At 54.9% G+C, this 15,494-nt stretch overlaps 1 pseudogene across 1 annotated transcript in view, besides 1 other annotated feature; it reads left to right on the plus strand.

The window, feature by feature from the left end:
• Nucleotides 1-574: 574 nt before the first annotated feature.
• SNX29P2 (sorting nexin 29 pseudogene 2) overlaps nt 575-15,494 on the plus strand; it is a 62,773-nt pseudogene continuing 47,853 nt past the window's right edge. Inside the window, exons 1-2 of the transcript NR_002939.3 lie at nt 575-676; nt 10,638-10,877. The product of NR_002939.3 is annotated as a sorting nexin 29 pseudogene 2 (transcript). The remainder of the gene's footprint in view (nt 677-10,637; nt 10,878-15,494) is intronic.
• Nucleotides 11,482-12,190: an enhancer, noted in NCBI's record as "H3K4me1 hESC enhancer chr16:29324515-29325223 (GRCh37/hg19 assembly coordinates)". NCBI's record gives its function as "activates a minimal SCP1, AML or CMV promoter by ChIP-STARR-seq in primed H9 embryonic stem cells {active_cell/tissue: H9 hESC(primed)}" and the evidence as "EXISTENCE:reporter gene assay evidence [ECO:0000049][PMID:30033119]".

Below are 15,494 nucleotides of genomic sequence, written 5' to 3' on the forward strand. Positions count from 1 at the left end.
ACACAGAGTCCTGTAAGATGGAGACCAAGGGGCTGGAAAACACGGGAACAGGCCCATAAAGTGCAGAGTCCATCCTGGGAGGCCGAGGCAGCGACCCCGGCAGGACCACAGTGCTGCAGTCCTTCCCCCAGCATGATGCCGCCTGGCACCCTCCAACCGGCTCCACATGGGCCAGCAAGTGGACACCCCTCTGGGGCACAGTGCAACGACCAAACAGAGTGATCCAGACTTAGATGCCATCCTGGGGGTGGGGGATGGGGTGAGAAAACGAGGCCCCTGCACAGGAGTCAAGGCCACAGAAAGCCAGATGGGCAGGTCCTGGGATGGCCAGGCCCCTGTGCGTGTAAGCGAGTGTGCAGAAAACCATCCAAGCACGCTCGCTGGATATGGAGTGGGGGTGCAGCAAGCAGTGGGGACTGGGAGGAAAGTCAGTGCATTTCAGACAAGTGCCATCAAGCGGGCCCCTCTCCTCCACGGGGCCTGGCAACTGCCCACCCTGGGGGGCTGCACCCTACTGGTTTCCCCAGCACCCCCACCGAGCACCTCAGCCTAAATGCCTGTGTGTGATTTGCAGAGTCCTCCGGAGGCTGAGAGCAAACGGCTGCACTAGGAACCCAGCAGTCAGACCGGCCCCCACCCTGGAGTGAACACATCGCCACTGCCAGGCATCGCAGGGGTAAGGAGCGGTTTTCTCTTCTCTTTAAAGCTTGATTTCACGTCATGTCCTGCCTTTTTCCTTATGTTTATTGTCACGGGCTGTATCGCATGAAGACAGTGCACGAGTTAGTACTGGAATCACAGCAGTGCATGGGTCAGTGCTGTGCCACACTGACACTTGGTCAGTACCATGCACAGTTAGTGCTGTGCCACGCTGACTCTCGGTCAGTACCATGTAGATATCAGTGCACGGTTAGTGCTGCGCCACGCTGACGCTCAGTCAGTACTATGTAGATATCATTAGTGCTGCGTCACACTGACTCTCGGTCAGTACCGTGTAGATATCATTAGTGCTGCATCACACTGACACTCGGTCAGTACCGTGTAGATATCAGTGCACGGTTAGTGCTGCGCCACGCTGACACTCGGTCAGTACCGTGTAGATATCAGTGCACGGTTAGTGCTGTGCCATGCTGACACTCGGTCAGTACCGTGTAGATATCAGTGCACGGTTAGTGCTGTGCCACAGTGACAGTCAGTATTGTGTAGATATCAGTGCACAGTTAGTGCTGCGCCATGCCGACACTTGGTCAGTACTGTGCTGATGTTGGTGCACAGATCAGTGCTGTGCCACACCAACACTTAGTCAGTACCTTGCACAGTTTAGTGCTGTACCACACCGATGCTTGGTCAGTACCGTGTTGATTTTCGTGCACGTGTTGATTTTCGTGCACGTGTTGGTGCTGTGCCACCCTGACGCTTGGTCAGTACTGTGCTGATGTTGGTGCACAGGTTAGTGCTGTGCCACACCAACGCTTCATCGGTACCATGTAGATATCAGTGCATGGGTTAGTGTTGTGCCACACTGACGCTTGGTCAGTACCATGCATGGGTTAGTGCTGTGCCACACCAATGCTTGGTCAGTACCATGTTGATTTTGTTGCACGTGTTGGTGCTGTGCCACCCTGATGCTTGGTCAGTCCCATGCCGATGTCAGCACACGGGTTGGTGCTGTGCCACCCTGATGCTTGGTCAGTACTGTGCTGATGTCGGTGCACAGGTTAGTGCTGTGCCACACCAACACTCAGTCAGTACCATGTAGATATCAGTGCATGGGTTAGTGTTGTGCCACGCTGACGCTTGGTCAGTACCATGCATGGGTTAGTGCTGTGCCACACCGATGCTTGGTCAGTACTGTGTCAATTTTGGCACACAGATTAGTGCTGGGCCATGCTGACGCTTGGTCAGTACTGTGCTGATGTTGGCTCACAGGTTAGTGCTGTGCCACACCAATGCTTTGTCAGTACCTTGTCAATTCTGGTGCATGGGTTAATGCTGCACCACACTGATGCTTGGTCAGTACTGTACTGATGTCGGTGCACAGGTTAGTGCTGTGCTATGCTGACACTTGGTCAGTACCATGCACGAGTTAGTGCTGTGCCACAATGATGCTTGGTCAGTACTGTGTCAATTTTGGTGCATGGATTAATGCTGTGCCACACTGATGCTTGGTCAGTACTGTGCTGATGTCGGTGCACAGGTTAGTGCTGTGTCTCATTGGAATAAGAAGGACAGTAGCTCCTGACTGTTGGAAGCAGGGAATAGTAGACTGTGTCTTCATTCTTGTTCTTGCCTTTTGTCCATAGTTTTGGTCTTGGTGTGCTCATGGCTTTGATTTGTACTTTAAAGTGTGTGGGGCCTCATCATTCAATGACTAAGCTGCCAGCTGGGTCAGAGAAACAAGTTGAGCGAAAATGGACCTAGCATGGGATCTGTTTGTCCATTAAGGGATTTAGTTAGATTCTTAATCAAGAGTTTAAATTTCTGCTGTGTATGCATTTGATAATTCTTACAAAATGTGACTGATCCTACACATAAAATGTTAGGTACTTCATTTCAGTGGGGGAAGGATTGTCGTTGAATTCTAACTGAATTATTGCCAGGAATTGGTCCCATGGACTTCCCAGTCAGTAGAATGACTTACGTGGTAGCTCTTGGTGATGCTGGTGAAGGCTGGTGAGGCACAGCTGGGAGAGTTGGGCAGCTGTGAGAGCTGTCAGCTGTGGCCATCCTGCAGCTGCTACTGGCACGCTGTGCTGACCTCGTTGTCCCAGACCTCGTTGTCCACAGAACGTCAGCCATGCACGTGGAAATAAGAACATGTAGCCACACTGCTGTGCGGATTTACGGACCTCACAATGTTAGCCGTGCACATGGAAATAAAAACATGTAGCCACCCTGTGCTGTGCAGATTCACAAACCTCGCAGTCCACAGAACACCAGCTATGCACGTGGAAAGGAGAATGTGTAGCCACGCTGTGCTGTGCAGAGTCACAGACCTCGCAGTCCATGGAATGCCATTCATGCACATGGAAAGAACATTTAGCTACAAACATGCCTCGAACATTTATTTACAGAATTCATCTTATGTAAGTGTTTTTAACATAAGCGCCGTATGTGTGAGGTAACAGGGAAACACTTTTTCATGGCAGTCCTGAGTTGATTGCTAATAAGAGTAGGACTGCAGAGAGAGGAGTGATCACAATAAAACCAAGGGAAGCGGGAGACAGCAGTTTGAGAACAGTCGCGGCTCTGAGTGCCACAGAGCAGCCAGAAGGGCAGTCTGGGGAAGTGAGTGGGGGTGATGGCGTCTCAGCAGCTTGGGTTGAGTTTCTGGATGCACAGCCTGTGCCCCAGGATGGAGGTGTCGGGAGCAGTCTTGACCCATGGCAATGTTGGTGCTGAGCAGTCAGGAGTTCACCCAGGCTCCTCCCCACCACCTCCCCCACCCTGAAAGACGCCCTTTCCATCCCTGCCCTGTGAGACCAGACACTTGGAGAGCAAACTTCTCAGGTGCTAGAGGCGCTCAGCTCTCCAGAGCTCGGCCGCCGATTGGTGTTGGACTTGGGTTCTCTGCGTGACCCGGAGGCGCAGGATCCTTTTAACTCGGTTAAATTATTTTTCACTTTAAGAAATGCTTAAGCATTACAGGCAAAATCTTTACAATAGAATTGTTGATGGAAAACAGCCCACTCAAAAAGACAAACAAAATAAAAGTAGGCCACACCAAAAAAGTATTTTGAAAGAAAATGGTAGTGTTCCATTTCTAAACTGAGGTCTCTGTAATGTGTAGCTTGTGGAATGTCAGTGTTACAGGTGTCTAAAATTCTCAAATACGATGTCACATAATCATAAAGTCCCTGATTTTAGAGCGAGGCCACCCTATCAGGAGCCCACCTGGTTTTCAAAGTTGTCCTCCAGAAGTGTGCACTTTTTGCTGTTCAGGGTACCCCCCTCTTCCTCTCCCCTCCCCTTTTAATCTTTCTGCTCCCCTTTTCCCATCCCAAATATTCATTAAGCATCCACTAGTACCTGATGGGAATGGAGGTTCTTTTGAAGCATCCGCATGTGACATCATAGACATCTAGCCAGCAGATGGCCAGAGTTGGCGTGTTTGGGACAAATGTTGCCTTACCTTTATAGGGTGTCCCTAGTCCCCAGGATCCTGGCATACCCCAACACATTATATTTTCTTGTGGGGCAAATAATTATGAGGAGCCCAACAGATAAAATGTCTCATGCATTCCACATAGAATTCTTATTCTCTACGTTGAATAGGAGAGATGAGTTATTGACAGTTATGTTTCATCACGTCCTGGTGCTGGAAGCATTTTGAGCCGTGATGTGTGTAACGACACAGCCCGGTGCTGCCTTTAGGTTTGAATTCTGTGTGGGTTTGCTCTGTGTTATCCATTGTTGGAACCATTTATTTCATTTTATGCAGAGTTGCTTTTGAAATTCATAAACAGCTTGAGTAAGCCTTTGCAAAAGCCGGATGAAAATTAATTTTTGGCATGGATGGCATATCTAACGTGAATCTGTTCTCTGAAGACTTACCTGGAGATGGTGAGGCTGACCTTGAACTGAACTGACATGGAGTTGGTTGTGTTGTGGAAATTAACACCACGCTATAAGGCTTTGAACAACCGTGCAGCCCAGTGACTCGCAAAGGATGGCCTTCTGATTTGTTCACTGTCCTGCTGGAGACGGAAATCCGGCATTCGTCGCCTCTGTGACTGCAGGGGACTAACGTGTGGAATCCCAGGGACAGGAACACTCTCAGCCATTGCCTGAAAAGTGACCCTGGAGCTGCGCTTCCCAGGATGTTCAAGGAGTGACCGTGGAGCTGCGCCTCCCAGGATGTTCATGGAAGTTAGGGCTTCGGTCTTGGACAACACAGATAACATTTATGGGAATTATTGTTTCATCTGTTCTTGGAAAGTCAGCATTCAAATGAAAGTAGGAGAGAGAGGGATCTTAAAAAGATTGTATTTCAATTATTGGTTAATTCCTTTCTATAGACTGCCTAAGAAAAAAGGATAAATTGATAACTATTCACTGTGGTGTGACAGTACAAATTCCAGGCTGGGAGTTTAAGTCATCGTTTTGTTCCCCTTTTTCCCCCCAGTAGGGAATTCTGAATGTACAAAAAGTTGAGTAATACAGCAAATTATATCAGGAAGCAGGTATGAGACAGTGCCTTCCATTTCAGTGTAGTAAAGGCATCATTTAAACTCGGAGTCTTTGAGGATTCTAGGAAGAGACACTAGAAATGTGTGAATCACTGGTTGTTAGTAGGCAGGGACTTCTCATGGCCTAGAGCGTTTGCCTCCATTCCCAGTCTGCCTCTCACTTGGCCTGCAACCTCGATCAGAGTCATTCATTTCTGCAGACATCTGAGCGCCTCTCCTGTGAGATGGATCATGGGCTGGCTCAGCTGCTGGGGTTACTGTGGGGACTGAGGAAATGAGGCCTCTGAAGAGACGGAGGTGTGGAATCAGGAGCCTGCCCAACAGGACGGGCCCTCCCTCAGTGCAGTGTGACGTGGGCCTGCCCCATGCCTAGTCCTTAGACTGCTGCCCGCACCCGTCAGAGCTCAGCAGGCCTTTGTGCTCTCCTGGTGCAGGAGGTGCCAGGAGTGGTGTCCTTCATGGTCTCTACACATGGGGCCCTCCTTGCACAGGTCAGAACCCCCTTGCCTCAGAACCTCCTTGCTAAGCAGGGCCCACCCCACAGCCTCTGATTGGTTGGGCCCGAGAATGAGCATTTTCAGGAAGTTCCCTGCCACTGCTGATGCTGCTGGTCTGAGAACATGCCTGAAAATCTCTAGTACTTAGAGGAGTGAGGTGGGAGTGATGTTGTCAACAGGAAATCCATGGACACAGGTGTGGATGGGAACCAGTAGACTGGGGTGGGTCAGCACTCATAATGTGGCTGTGCTGAGCAGGAAGCACAGGGTGTGGAGCTGTGAGCCACAAACACAGGCCAGCACAAACTGGGTCCTGCTGGACGCTCCAGGCGGGAGATTCCTGGGAGCACAGGCCAGGTGGCCTTTGGGTAACTCTGGTGGGGCAGAGTTTAGAGTCGGAGTCTCCTGCGGTGCTGAAAAAAGGCCAGGAAGAAGTGTTGAGGCCTGGACGAGGCCAGTGGTTGTGGAGGGAGGGTTCGTTGTGACCTGCGGTGCAGGAGGAGTCACCCAGAGCTGGGGCAGCTCCATGTGGGGTGGAGGGCGCGGCCAGCCTTGGTGCACTGGGTCTGGACATTTGCACACCGGCCTTCGGTGGGTCCTGAGCCTGCGAGAGGATGAGCTCAGTGGCTGCCCCGACATTGCCTTGAGGTGGAGCCTGGGGAGGACAGAGGTGGTGGGTGGCAGCCCCCCCAGGAGCTGGCTGTCACCCTAAGTCAGGGAGGTTCTTGGTGTGGGCATGGAGAGCCCACGTCATCCCTCCTGGAGGGTCTCAGTGACACTTTGACATGATTTTGACTCATGTTTGAAAAACAACTCTGAACTCTTATCCAGTGTTTACTTTAAAAATACTATCTCACCACAGAGAGCTCAGCTAAGTGTGTTTCAGCACTGTTATTTCCTGAGAGAGGCTGCAGGGATCTTTAGCAGCTTGGTGGCTACAGCTGAGAGCCCCTGCCCACCGTCCCCACACCATCTTCGCACTGGTCCTGCATCACCCACATCCCGGTGTGGGTGGGTGATGGTGGGGGAGGCCGGTGGCTCAGGATGCTGCTGCCCTTCCTGCTGCCTGCCTCGGGTCCTCTGCTTGTGATCTCCAGGTCCTAAGTCCAGCTTGGTGTCGCTGGAGACCACCCTCATGTACCCAGAGTTCCCATTAAATGAGCCTCAGTGCTGGGAACCCTGGGAAGTTTAAAGACAGTGGGCCTCATTGTGAGCCCTACTGACACCAGGCCCTTGGCTATTCCTGGATTACTGAGCAGCTCTGTAATCAGCTGCTCACCCCCTCTGCCCGTCCCTCTGCCCATGCCCCCTCAGCTCATGCCCTCTGCCTGTCCCCTCTGCCCATCCCTCTGCCCGTGTCCCCTCAGCTCATGCCCTCTGCCTGTCCCCTCTGCCTGTCCCTCTGCCTGTGCCCCCTCAGCTCGTGCCCTCTGCCCGTCCCCTCTGCCCATCCCTCTGCCTGTCCCTCTGCCCGTGCCCCCTCAGCTCATGCCCTCTGCCCGTCTCCTCTGCCTGTCCCCTCTGCCCATCCCTCTGCCCGTCCCTCTGCCTATGCTCCCTTAGCTCGTGCCCTCTGCCCATCCCCTCTGCCTGTGTCCTCTGCCCGTGCTCCCTCTGCCCATCCCTCTGCTTGTGCCCTCACCCTGTGCCCCTTCAGCTCATGCCCTCTGCCCGTCTCCTCTGTCCATCCCTCTGCCCATGCCCTCTGCCTATGCCCCCTCATCTTGTGCCCTCTGCCCATCTCTTCTGTCCATCCCTCTGCCCATGCCCTCTGCCTGTGCCTCCCTGCCTGTGCCCTCTGCCTGTGCCCCCTCAGCTCGTGCCCTCTGCCCGTCCCTCTGCCAGTCCCCTCTGCCTGTGCCAGTTCAGCTTGGACCACGCTGGGCGTGGGTGCCTGCTTTCTGCCCAGGTGACCGGGCCCTGCTCAGTTCTCCACCCTCCCCTGTCCCTCGTCTGCCTTACGTTCCCTGCTCTGGCCACGCTGGTTCCCTTACCTTCCTGGAGCATGTGGCCCCTCCTGGCCCAGGCTGGTCCTGCTTCCCACTCTGGAATGTTCTCTGGAGTTCTTCCCCTGGGTGGCTCCTTCCCGCTTCCCTGCTTGGGGTCACCCATTCTCGTCTGAGGTCAGCTCTACCCCTGCCTGTCTCCCTGTTCGCTTGCAGGCCACTGTCCCTGGCACTTGGGAGTCAGGAGGAGCGGGGCCAAGGTCTCGCGCTCCAGGAGCTACCAGGCAGCTGCCGCAGGGACTCAGGTACTCAGGTGCTCTTCTAGCGCCTCAGCGGCTTTCACTCCATTCGTGCTCCTTTACCTGGGGCTCTGTACCAGTGCTGCCAGGAGGCCTGGCTGGCCCGGGCTGGGAGCCCACATTGAGCAGCATCTGTGTGGGATCGAGGCTGATTCCCGCGGCCCCGGTTCACATTGGATGGCATCTGAGGGTGTCACCTTGGCCTGAGCCCAGCCCGGGTGTGGGAGTCTGGGAGACCTTGCAGTGGGACAGTTCCCATTTGCCAGCATGGGCCTCCGCAGCCTCTGCTTCCCAGCCACCAGGGGCCATAAGCAAATCTCTGCCCCTTGCCCAGGCCCCAAGGCAGAACATTTTAAAAAATCCTCCCTTCACAAGTACAGACACAGGGAAGGATTCAGCCCCTTAGGTTTAATCTGACCAGGAAATCTGTGGCATGGTTTAAGGTCAGCACAAGTGGGGAGCTGTGTCTGGGGCCTCCCGTCCATGCGGGAGAAGCATGCGGCGCTGGGAAATGCGTGGTGCAGGTGCCAATGCTCCAGAGCCGCCTCGGCCACTGTCCTCCCACATCTTGGGTTTCCCCTGCAGATTCCCATTTAGATCTTCAGTCCCATGGAGTCCATGACCATCTCTAGCCATGGTGTGACCAGCATGTGGCTTCAGATCTTGGAGACTGGACCACTCCTGCCTTGGCTCACACGTCCCCTCTGTTTCCCCTTCCCCTCCCCATGGCTTCCTTACTGGACTGCTGCTGACCAGGGCCTGTGCTGCTGTGTTCGATGACATTGACCTGTGACTCTGAGCAAGAGCTTAGATGCAGAGCTTTAGACCCAGCGCCAGGCCCTTGGGTGTCCCGTAAGGATTCGTAGATACATTCATAGAATCCCCGGAAGCTGGAGTCTCGTAGCTTTGCAGCTGCGGCCTTTAGACAGCTCTTGCCATGAGACTCCATCCATTAGTCTTGAGGTCACGTGTTTCCATTTTGCTCCTCATATACAGGTGGAATGTAATAGTGGCCGACTGACGGATGTTCTGAAAAAATGCACGTCTGAGCGTATGTTCCTAGCAGCATCCCTGTACTTCTGAACCACCTCTGAGCATCGATGCTTCTTAATCATCTCTGTCCTGAATTTCAAAAATTAGAGCTGTTTTCTATCCTTAGCTACAGCCAAGAGCCCAGCCACACTGCCCTGCCCCTGTGACAATGTGTGTTTGAAGACAGGGTGACCAGCCCTGCCCTGATATTTCATGGAAATCTTATATTTCAGGGAATGGGAGAGGCTGCCTGTGGAGGGAGCTGTGCACGCTAGGAGCACACGGCAGCCACAGGCTTCTCGGCTGTGCTCCAGGCTTACTGGCCCACGCTCCAAGCTTCCTGGCCCGGCAGGCAGGGCTGGCTGCCCTTGTAGGAGCCGGAAAGTCAATATTGGGATATTTCAGAATAAAGCTCACAGACGTTCTGAGGCAGCGTTGCCCAGGGTGGCATGACTGTAGCCAGCCCTGGGCCTTGGAGACTCTGGCAGAGCGTGGTGTCCCTCCTAGGTCCCGGCCCCTTGTGGGAGGTATTCAGGTTTCTACCTTTCCACAGGGGAGGACGTGCTGGGGGAGGGGAGACTCTGGCAGCCTCCCTTTGGTTCAACTTCAGGGTCAGAAGAGATTGTTTGGGAAGCTGCTGAGCTTCCAAGCAGGAGTGTGAGTTTTCCTGTTTATGATCATGTGTGGAGCTTTCTTCCGTCACATGGGGAGGCTTTGAAAAGGCAGCCTTTCACATACTGTACTTGGTCAACCTGAGGACAACCCGGAGATGCCGTTACACAGAGAAGGAGTCCATGGTTCAGAGAAGACTAGTGACTTGTGAAGGGTCAGCTAGGAAGCTGAGAGGCCACGCTTGGGTGGGAGGGAGGCAGAGAGGTGTGGAGGGGCTGGCGGGCATCATTGCCTGGGCAGGCAGGTGGGAAGTCCCACTCCATCATCACAGGAGTGTGCTTTGCAGGCAACCTCAGGCCACTCCAGGTGCCTGGCCACCCTGTCTCCTCCGTGTGGAGCATGGGCCTGTCCACGGGTCCTTGCTGTGGCCTCACTGACAGCAGAGAACATGGCGCATTCCCACACCTGAATGTGCTGCTCTGGGCGGCTGCATTGTAACTGCCCTGAGAATGCTGGCATCCGGGGCATGCTGTGACTTACACTGTGCAGAGGCAGGGACTGGCATTGTGTGCATGGGGGCGATGCCAAGCCGGCTGCTGATGCTAGAGCCCCTCACCTCTGCGTCTTTCTTGGTGGGAGTGGCTGGCCAGTGGGAGAGCATGGCTGGCAGTGAGGTGTGAGGGGCTCCAGGGAGGGTTCCGCTCTGCAGATGGCTGGGGCAGGTACCAACTGTGTGCAAGGATATCGGTATTGCTGGGGTCCCAGGTCCAGGATGAGCAGAGTGTGTGACCGTGTTGGCGCTCAGGTCCCAAGGCCCTGCAGCCCCACAGGCACCTGGCCGCTTCTGGGGGTGGTGGGATCGTTTCTGTTCCACATCAGTTCTTTCTTGGGCAGCAGTCGGAGGCTCCAGCGCTCTTGGTGACTGCATCACAAGTTAGGAGGGATTTGCCCAGCCCTGTGTGGAGCACCTTTCCCGGGTGTGTCTGAGCAGAGCGCTCTGCTGTCCTGAATGTGAGCTTATTTGAGCCTTGGCCATCTGAGGACCTGTCTTCTGTTTTTCAGAGGATTACCCCAATGGCACCTGGCTGGGCGACGAGAACAACCCCGAGATGCGGGTGCACTGCGCCATCATCCCCTCCGACATGCTGCACATCAGCACCAACTGCCGCACGGCCGAGGAGATGGTGCTCACGCTGCTGGACTACCTCTTCCACCGCGAGGTGCAGGCTGTGTCCAGCCTCTCGGGGCAGGGCAAGCACGGGAAGAAGCAGCTGGACCCGCTCACCATCTATGGCATCCGGTGTAAGTCGGGCCCCATCTTGGGGGACTGGGGTGTGCGGGGAGCTGGGTCAGGACCCACATTTCACTGCTGAGGGTGCTGGCATCAGTAGCACTGGCACGGGGCTGCGTTTCTCCAGGCGGTTTGAAATCTCAGCCCGAGGATCAGTGCTCGAGGGGATGGATGCCCGGTTGACCCTGATGTGCTCATTACTCATGGCATGCCTGTACCAAAATACCTCATATACCCCATCATATATATACCTACTGTGTACCCTTAGAAGGTAAAAAACTCCTCGCCTCCTGTCTGTAGGCCACTCTTGAGGAAGAGAGAGGAGGAGGAGAGCCAGGGCCTTCCCTGCTGTCCTGGCCACGCTGACCCAGGCCCCGCTGAGCCTCTCCTAAGTGGGTGGAGTGCCGCCTGCCTCCTTCCTTCTGAGAGGGCTGGGCCTCAGCAGCCATGCCAGGGCCTCAGCGCTGACCTGGCTGTGATGGGAGCCAGGAGAGCTCCAAAGCCTGATTTTCGTGCCCAGCCCGGCCTGTGATGTTTCCCTCCCCTCTGAAGAGCGGGACTTGCTCCAGGTGGCGATTGCGGTACTGCCCTTCAATGGCGTTTGATGGGCGCTCAGGTCCTCTTTGCCAGCGTCCATGGTCCATTTGCTCCACAGAGCCCGTCTGCTTCAGAAGCTGTCCTCCTGGCTTCTAACAAAGATGTAAAGTGAAGCAGCAGCAAACGCAAGAGACACGAGGCCCCTGGCGGGAGGGTGTGGGAGGGTACAGCAGCCTCCGGCAATCTGGGCTCTGGAGAGTTGCCTCAGGGGATCGTGAATGGAAATCTGATCTTGAAACAGGGCGAGCGAGGTGGAGCACTCAGCGTCCGGGATCTCAGCGTGCGGGGGGCCTCCGGGATCTCAGCGTGCGGGGGGCGTCCAGGATCTCAGCGTGCGGGGGGCATCCGGGATCTCAGCGTGTGGGGGCTGCTGTTCCAGCAGGAAAGAGCCTTGCTCCTCTGGGAAGCACGGTGTGGCCCGTGAGCCTCTGTCAAGAGCAGTGGGGGAGTGGAAGGGCTCAGCTGTTCCGTAGCTGCTGTGAAAATGGGGTCTGAGTAAGACTGGGGTGTCATGCTGACTGCAGGTTTTTCTGGAAGCTGCTGAGAGGTGGGTCCAGGTCCCACCCACGTGTGTGTGAGCAGGTCATGGCATCTTCCCATGTGCCATGTCTTGTTCCAGGCGTGTGTCCCAGCTGTCAGACACTGGCGGGCACCCATCCTGGACCCTGAGGGTAGTCTCAGATAACTGCCTGGGAGACCACATGTGGGGCCTCCTCACAGCTTCTCAGCGGTGGAGTAAAGCAGGTCACGAGGATCAGAGGGTCATGGGGCAGGGGTCACCCGCAGCCTTCTGAAGGGCCACATGGCAGATGTTTCAGGCTTTGCAGGCCCTGGGGTCTCTCTTCAACTGCTCAGCTCTGAAAGCAGCCACAGACGAGGTGTCACAGGAGTGTCAGGCTGGGCTACAGGTTGGAGGCGCAGCCTGGACAGAGAGGAGCGGGTGATCTTTGGAGAGGATGGTGGCATGTGGGATGAGCGTGCTGTGCTGTGTGGGGCAGTGGCATTCAGGGCTGGGCCCTGTTCCCAGGTGAGGAGTCCCTGCTCCTCCAGGGAGATGACAGGGGCCTTGGATGTGAAGCTGGAGGCCGGCTGGCTCTGCTTTGGAGACAGTGCCTTGGTATGTCAGGCTAAGGATTCGGGCTTTCAGGGCATTGGCTGCGATTGGTCTTTTTATTAATCGAGCACAGGGAATGTTCCAGTGAGGTGACAGGGGCATGGCAGGGCGATAGAGCAGAGCCCATGGCGGTGGGGTGGCTGTGTCTGTATTCAGCGAGTCCGTGTGGGGTGGTGGAAGGCACTGCGTGGGGCAGAATGGGGCAGGCCCCGATTCCCTGCATGTTGTGGCTATGAGTTGACCTTCCCTGCTGAGCTTCTCCTTGCTTGGGAAGTGCTGCCAACCTCGATGGGGGTCTGGAGGCCAGAGAGGGGAGTGGGAGCCTGGCATGGGCTACCACCCTCTCCCCTGGGCCCGCTGGCTTCAGGGCCATCCTCCAGACAGCTGAAGTCATTGGCTCTGTTCACCAGGCTGCTGGACCTCATGGCTTGGGGACCACTGGCCCTGCCTCCCCAGGCTCTGAGCTGGGCTCTGGAGCACGGTCCCCTGGCAGGGGCGTCCGCTAGCACCGTCATTCTGCTGGAAGTTCCTCCGGGGCGGGGGTCCTGGGCTTGCTCACAGCGCCCGGCCCCTTGGAGATGCCCAGTGAATTCTGGTCTCTAGAGCCGAGCTTTGGGAAGGTCATGGTGTGGCTGACCTTCAGGGTGACTTTGCATGAGGAAGGCTGGCCTGTCCACCGGGCCGTGTGGAGGGGCCTGGAGCAACTGCTGGGTATGGACCAGAGCTGGGCCTTCTCCCCCCACCTCAGGCCAGGCATGCCTGTGTGGCTCGTGCTTAGATGGAATTGCTGAAATGTTAAAAGCATGGCTTTACCTTTTCTCCCTGTGGCCCAGTTTCATTCTTATTGCTGATCGTTGCCCAAAAAACCAAAACAAATCAAATAAATACATGGACCAAACCTCCCAGGCCCCAGCTTGAACAGCGGCAGGAATGGAATTGGCCACATCACTGCATCTTACTCTCTGCTGTTGCTTCAGAGCCTGCAGTGATGCCTGTAGCCTCAGCAGTCAGAGGTCTGCGGCTGTCCTCACTCAACCCAGACAGCTCACGAGGGAGAAGATTTTGATTTAAGTTTCTCCTTATTTGTCAGCAGAAAGATTTTCTTTCTTTTTCTGGAGAAAAAAGTCTACATTTTGAAACACACAGTAGGTAAAGTCTCTAAGTACCACCTTCTCAAAATGAGGAAATGAGGTTATTGAAAGAGGGAGAGAGAGAAATTTGCTTTTTGGGGTGTTGGCTTTCTTAGGGTTCCCAAGGATTGGTGGACCCCCCGAATTTGGGCAGCTAACCAAATTTGTGTGTTTTATGCAAAAGTAGCATATCATTGCAACTTGGAAAACCTTGGAACATTTTCCTAAGGAATGTGCTCTCAGGACAGCAGCATTTGCCTGTTTTCTCTATGAAGAGAAATTGGTTTAGTTCTTAGGATTTCTATCCATGGCTTGCTCACGCCTCTGCTTGGACTGTGCATCCAAGCCGGTGACCCCGGATCTGAGGGCTTTTCTAAAGAATGCTGTCTAAGGCCATGCCACCCTGAACACACCCGATCTCATCTGATCTAAAGAATGCTGCTGTGGATGGCCGATCCCCATGAGACCTCCTAGCAGTTACAGAAAGACTGGATTCATTTGCACAAAGTAAAAAGTTATGCTTTCAGAGTTGCCCTGTCAGATGATTGTAGTTCTTTTCAAATCATTCACTCCAAGCGCAGGTGGTGTTTCCTAGCGGGAAGCAGCGGGGGCCACTTCACCCACACCTGTCCCTGTGAGTGCAGGTGTGCGACCTGGCCCCATTGTGTCTTGCAGGGTGCCTCAGGTTCCTGTGGCCACTGGGACAAAGCTCACAGCCTGGCTGGCTTAGAACACAGGCTTGTGTTCTCGTGCAGGTTTGGAGGCCAGATGCCTAGGATGAAGATGTGGGCAGGGCCACGCTGCCTGAGAAGGCCCTTTCCTTCTCCCAGCTTCTGGTGGTGGCCGCATCCCTCCAGTCTCTGCCCGCGTCCCCCATGGCTGTCTTCCCCCCGTGTCTCCCTCTGTGTCCCTCTCCTTACAACGACAGTCACTGGATTTGGAGCTCCCTCTCCTGCAGGATGACCTCATTACAACCTAAGGAATCACATCTGCAGAGACCCTAGTTCCCAGTCAGGTCACATTCTGGGGTCCTGGGCCAGGACATGAGTTTTGTGGGGACACTGTTCAGCCCAGTACACAGGACACGGGTGGTCAAGTGCTGTCTCTTCTCCAAGTTCTCTGTGAGGTGAAATGGTGAGGCTGACCTATATGTGTCCTTAAGGCAGAATGTGGACTCCACGCAGGGGTGGGTGTTTGTCTGTCTGTCTTGGGACATTGAGTGCCTCACGGTGACTGAAAGCTGGGAGGAAGGTGTGGTCAGTGTGGGCTCCAGGCAGAAAAGTGAGCAGAGCCTCCTTCTCAGCAGGTCACCCAGATGCTGTGACCTGGAGGTAGTCCTGCAGGTGGCTGTGAGGGGCTCTCTTGCTAACAGACTGAGGACAGGTGTCTCTCCATCATTTTTTCTCATAAAGGAATGAGTCAGCAGGCTTGAAGAAGGTGGCCGGCTTGGCCTGGAGGCTGCACATGTGAGGTGCACGGGGTGTGGGCTGTGCGTGCTTCCCCCGGGAGGGAGCATGTCAGCTGGCTTCCATCGGGCAGAGGCTTCGAGATGCCTTTTGTTTTTCTAGGCAGCGCTGTCACGTCGAGTCTGTAATTTGAAGAAATCAGTTGTTGGCACTCGGTTTTGTGCTGCCTTCCCTTGCACATGAGAGTGCGTTAGCAGGTGGTGCTCTTCATTCCTTTGTGACTAATAAAGCCACATGCCACCCACCAAGGCACAGGATGACAAGCCCTCCTGGCTCTCTTGTCTCGCTTCCCACAGTGCCTCTCATGGCCCCACAGATGGA

This window comes from Homo sapiens, chromosome 16 (assembly GCF_000001405.40).
Source record: "Homo sapiens chromosome 16, GRCh38.p14 Primary Assembly".
Taxonomy (NCBI): Eukaryota; Metazoa; Chordata; class Mammalia; order Primates; family Hominidae; genus Homo; species Homo sapiens.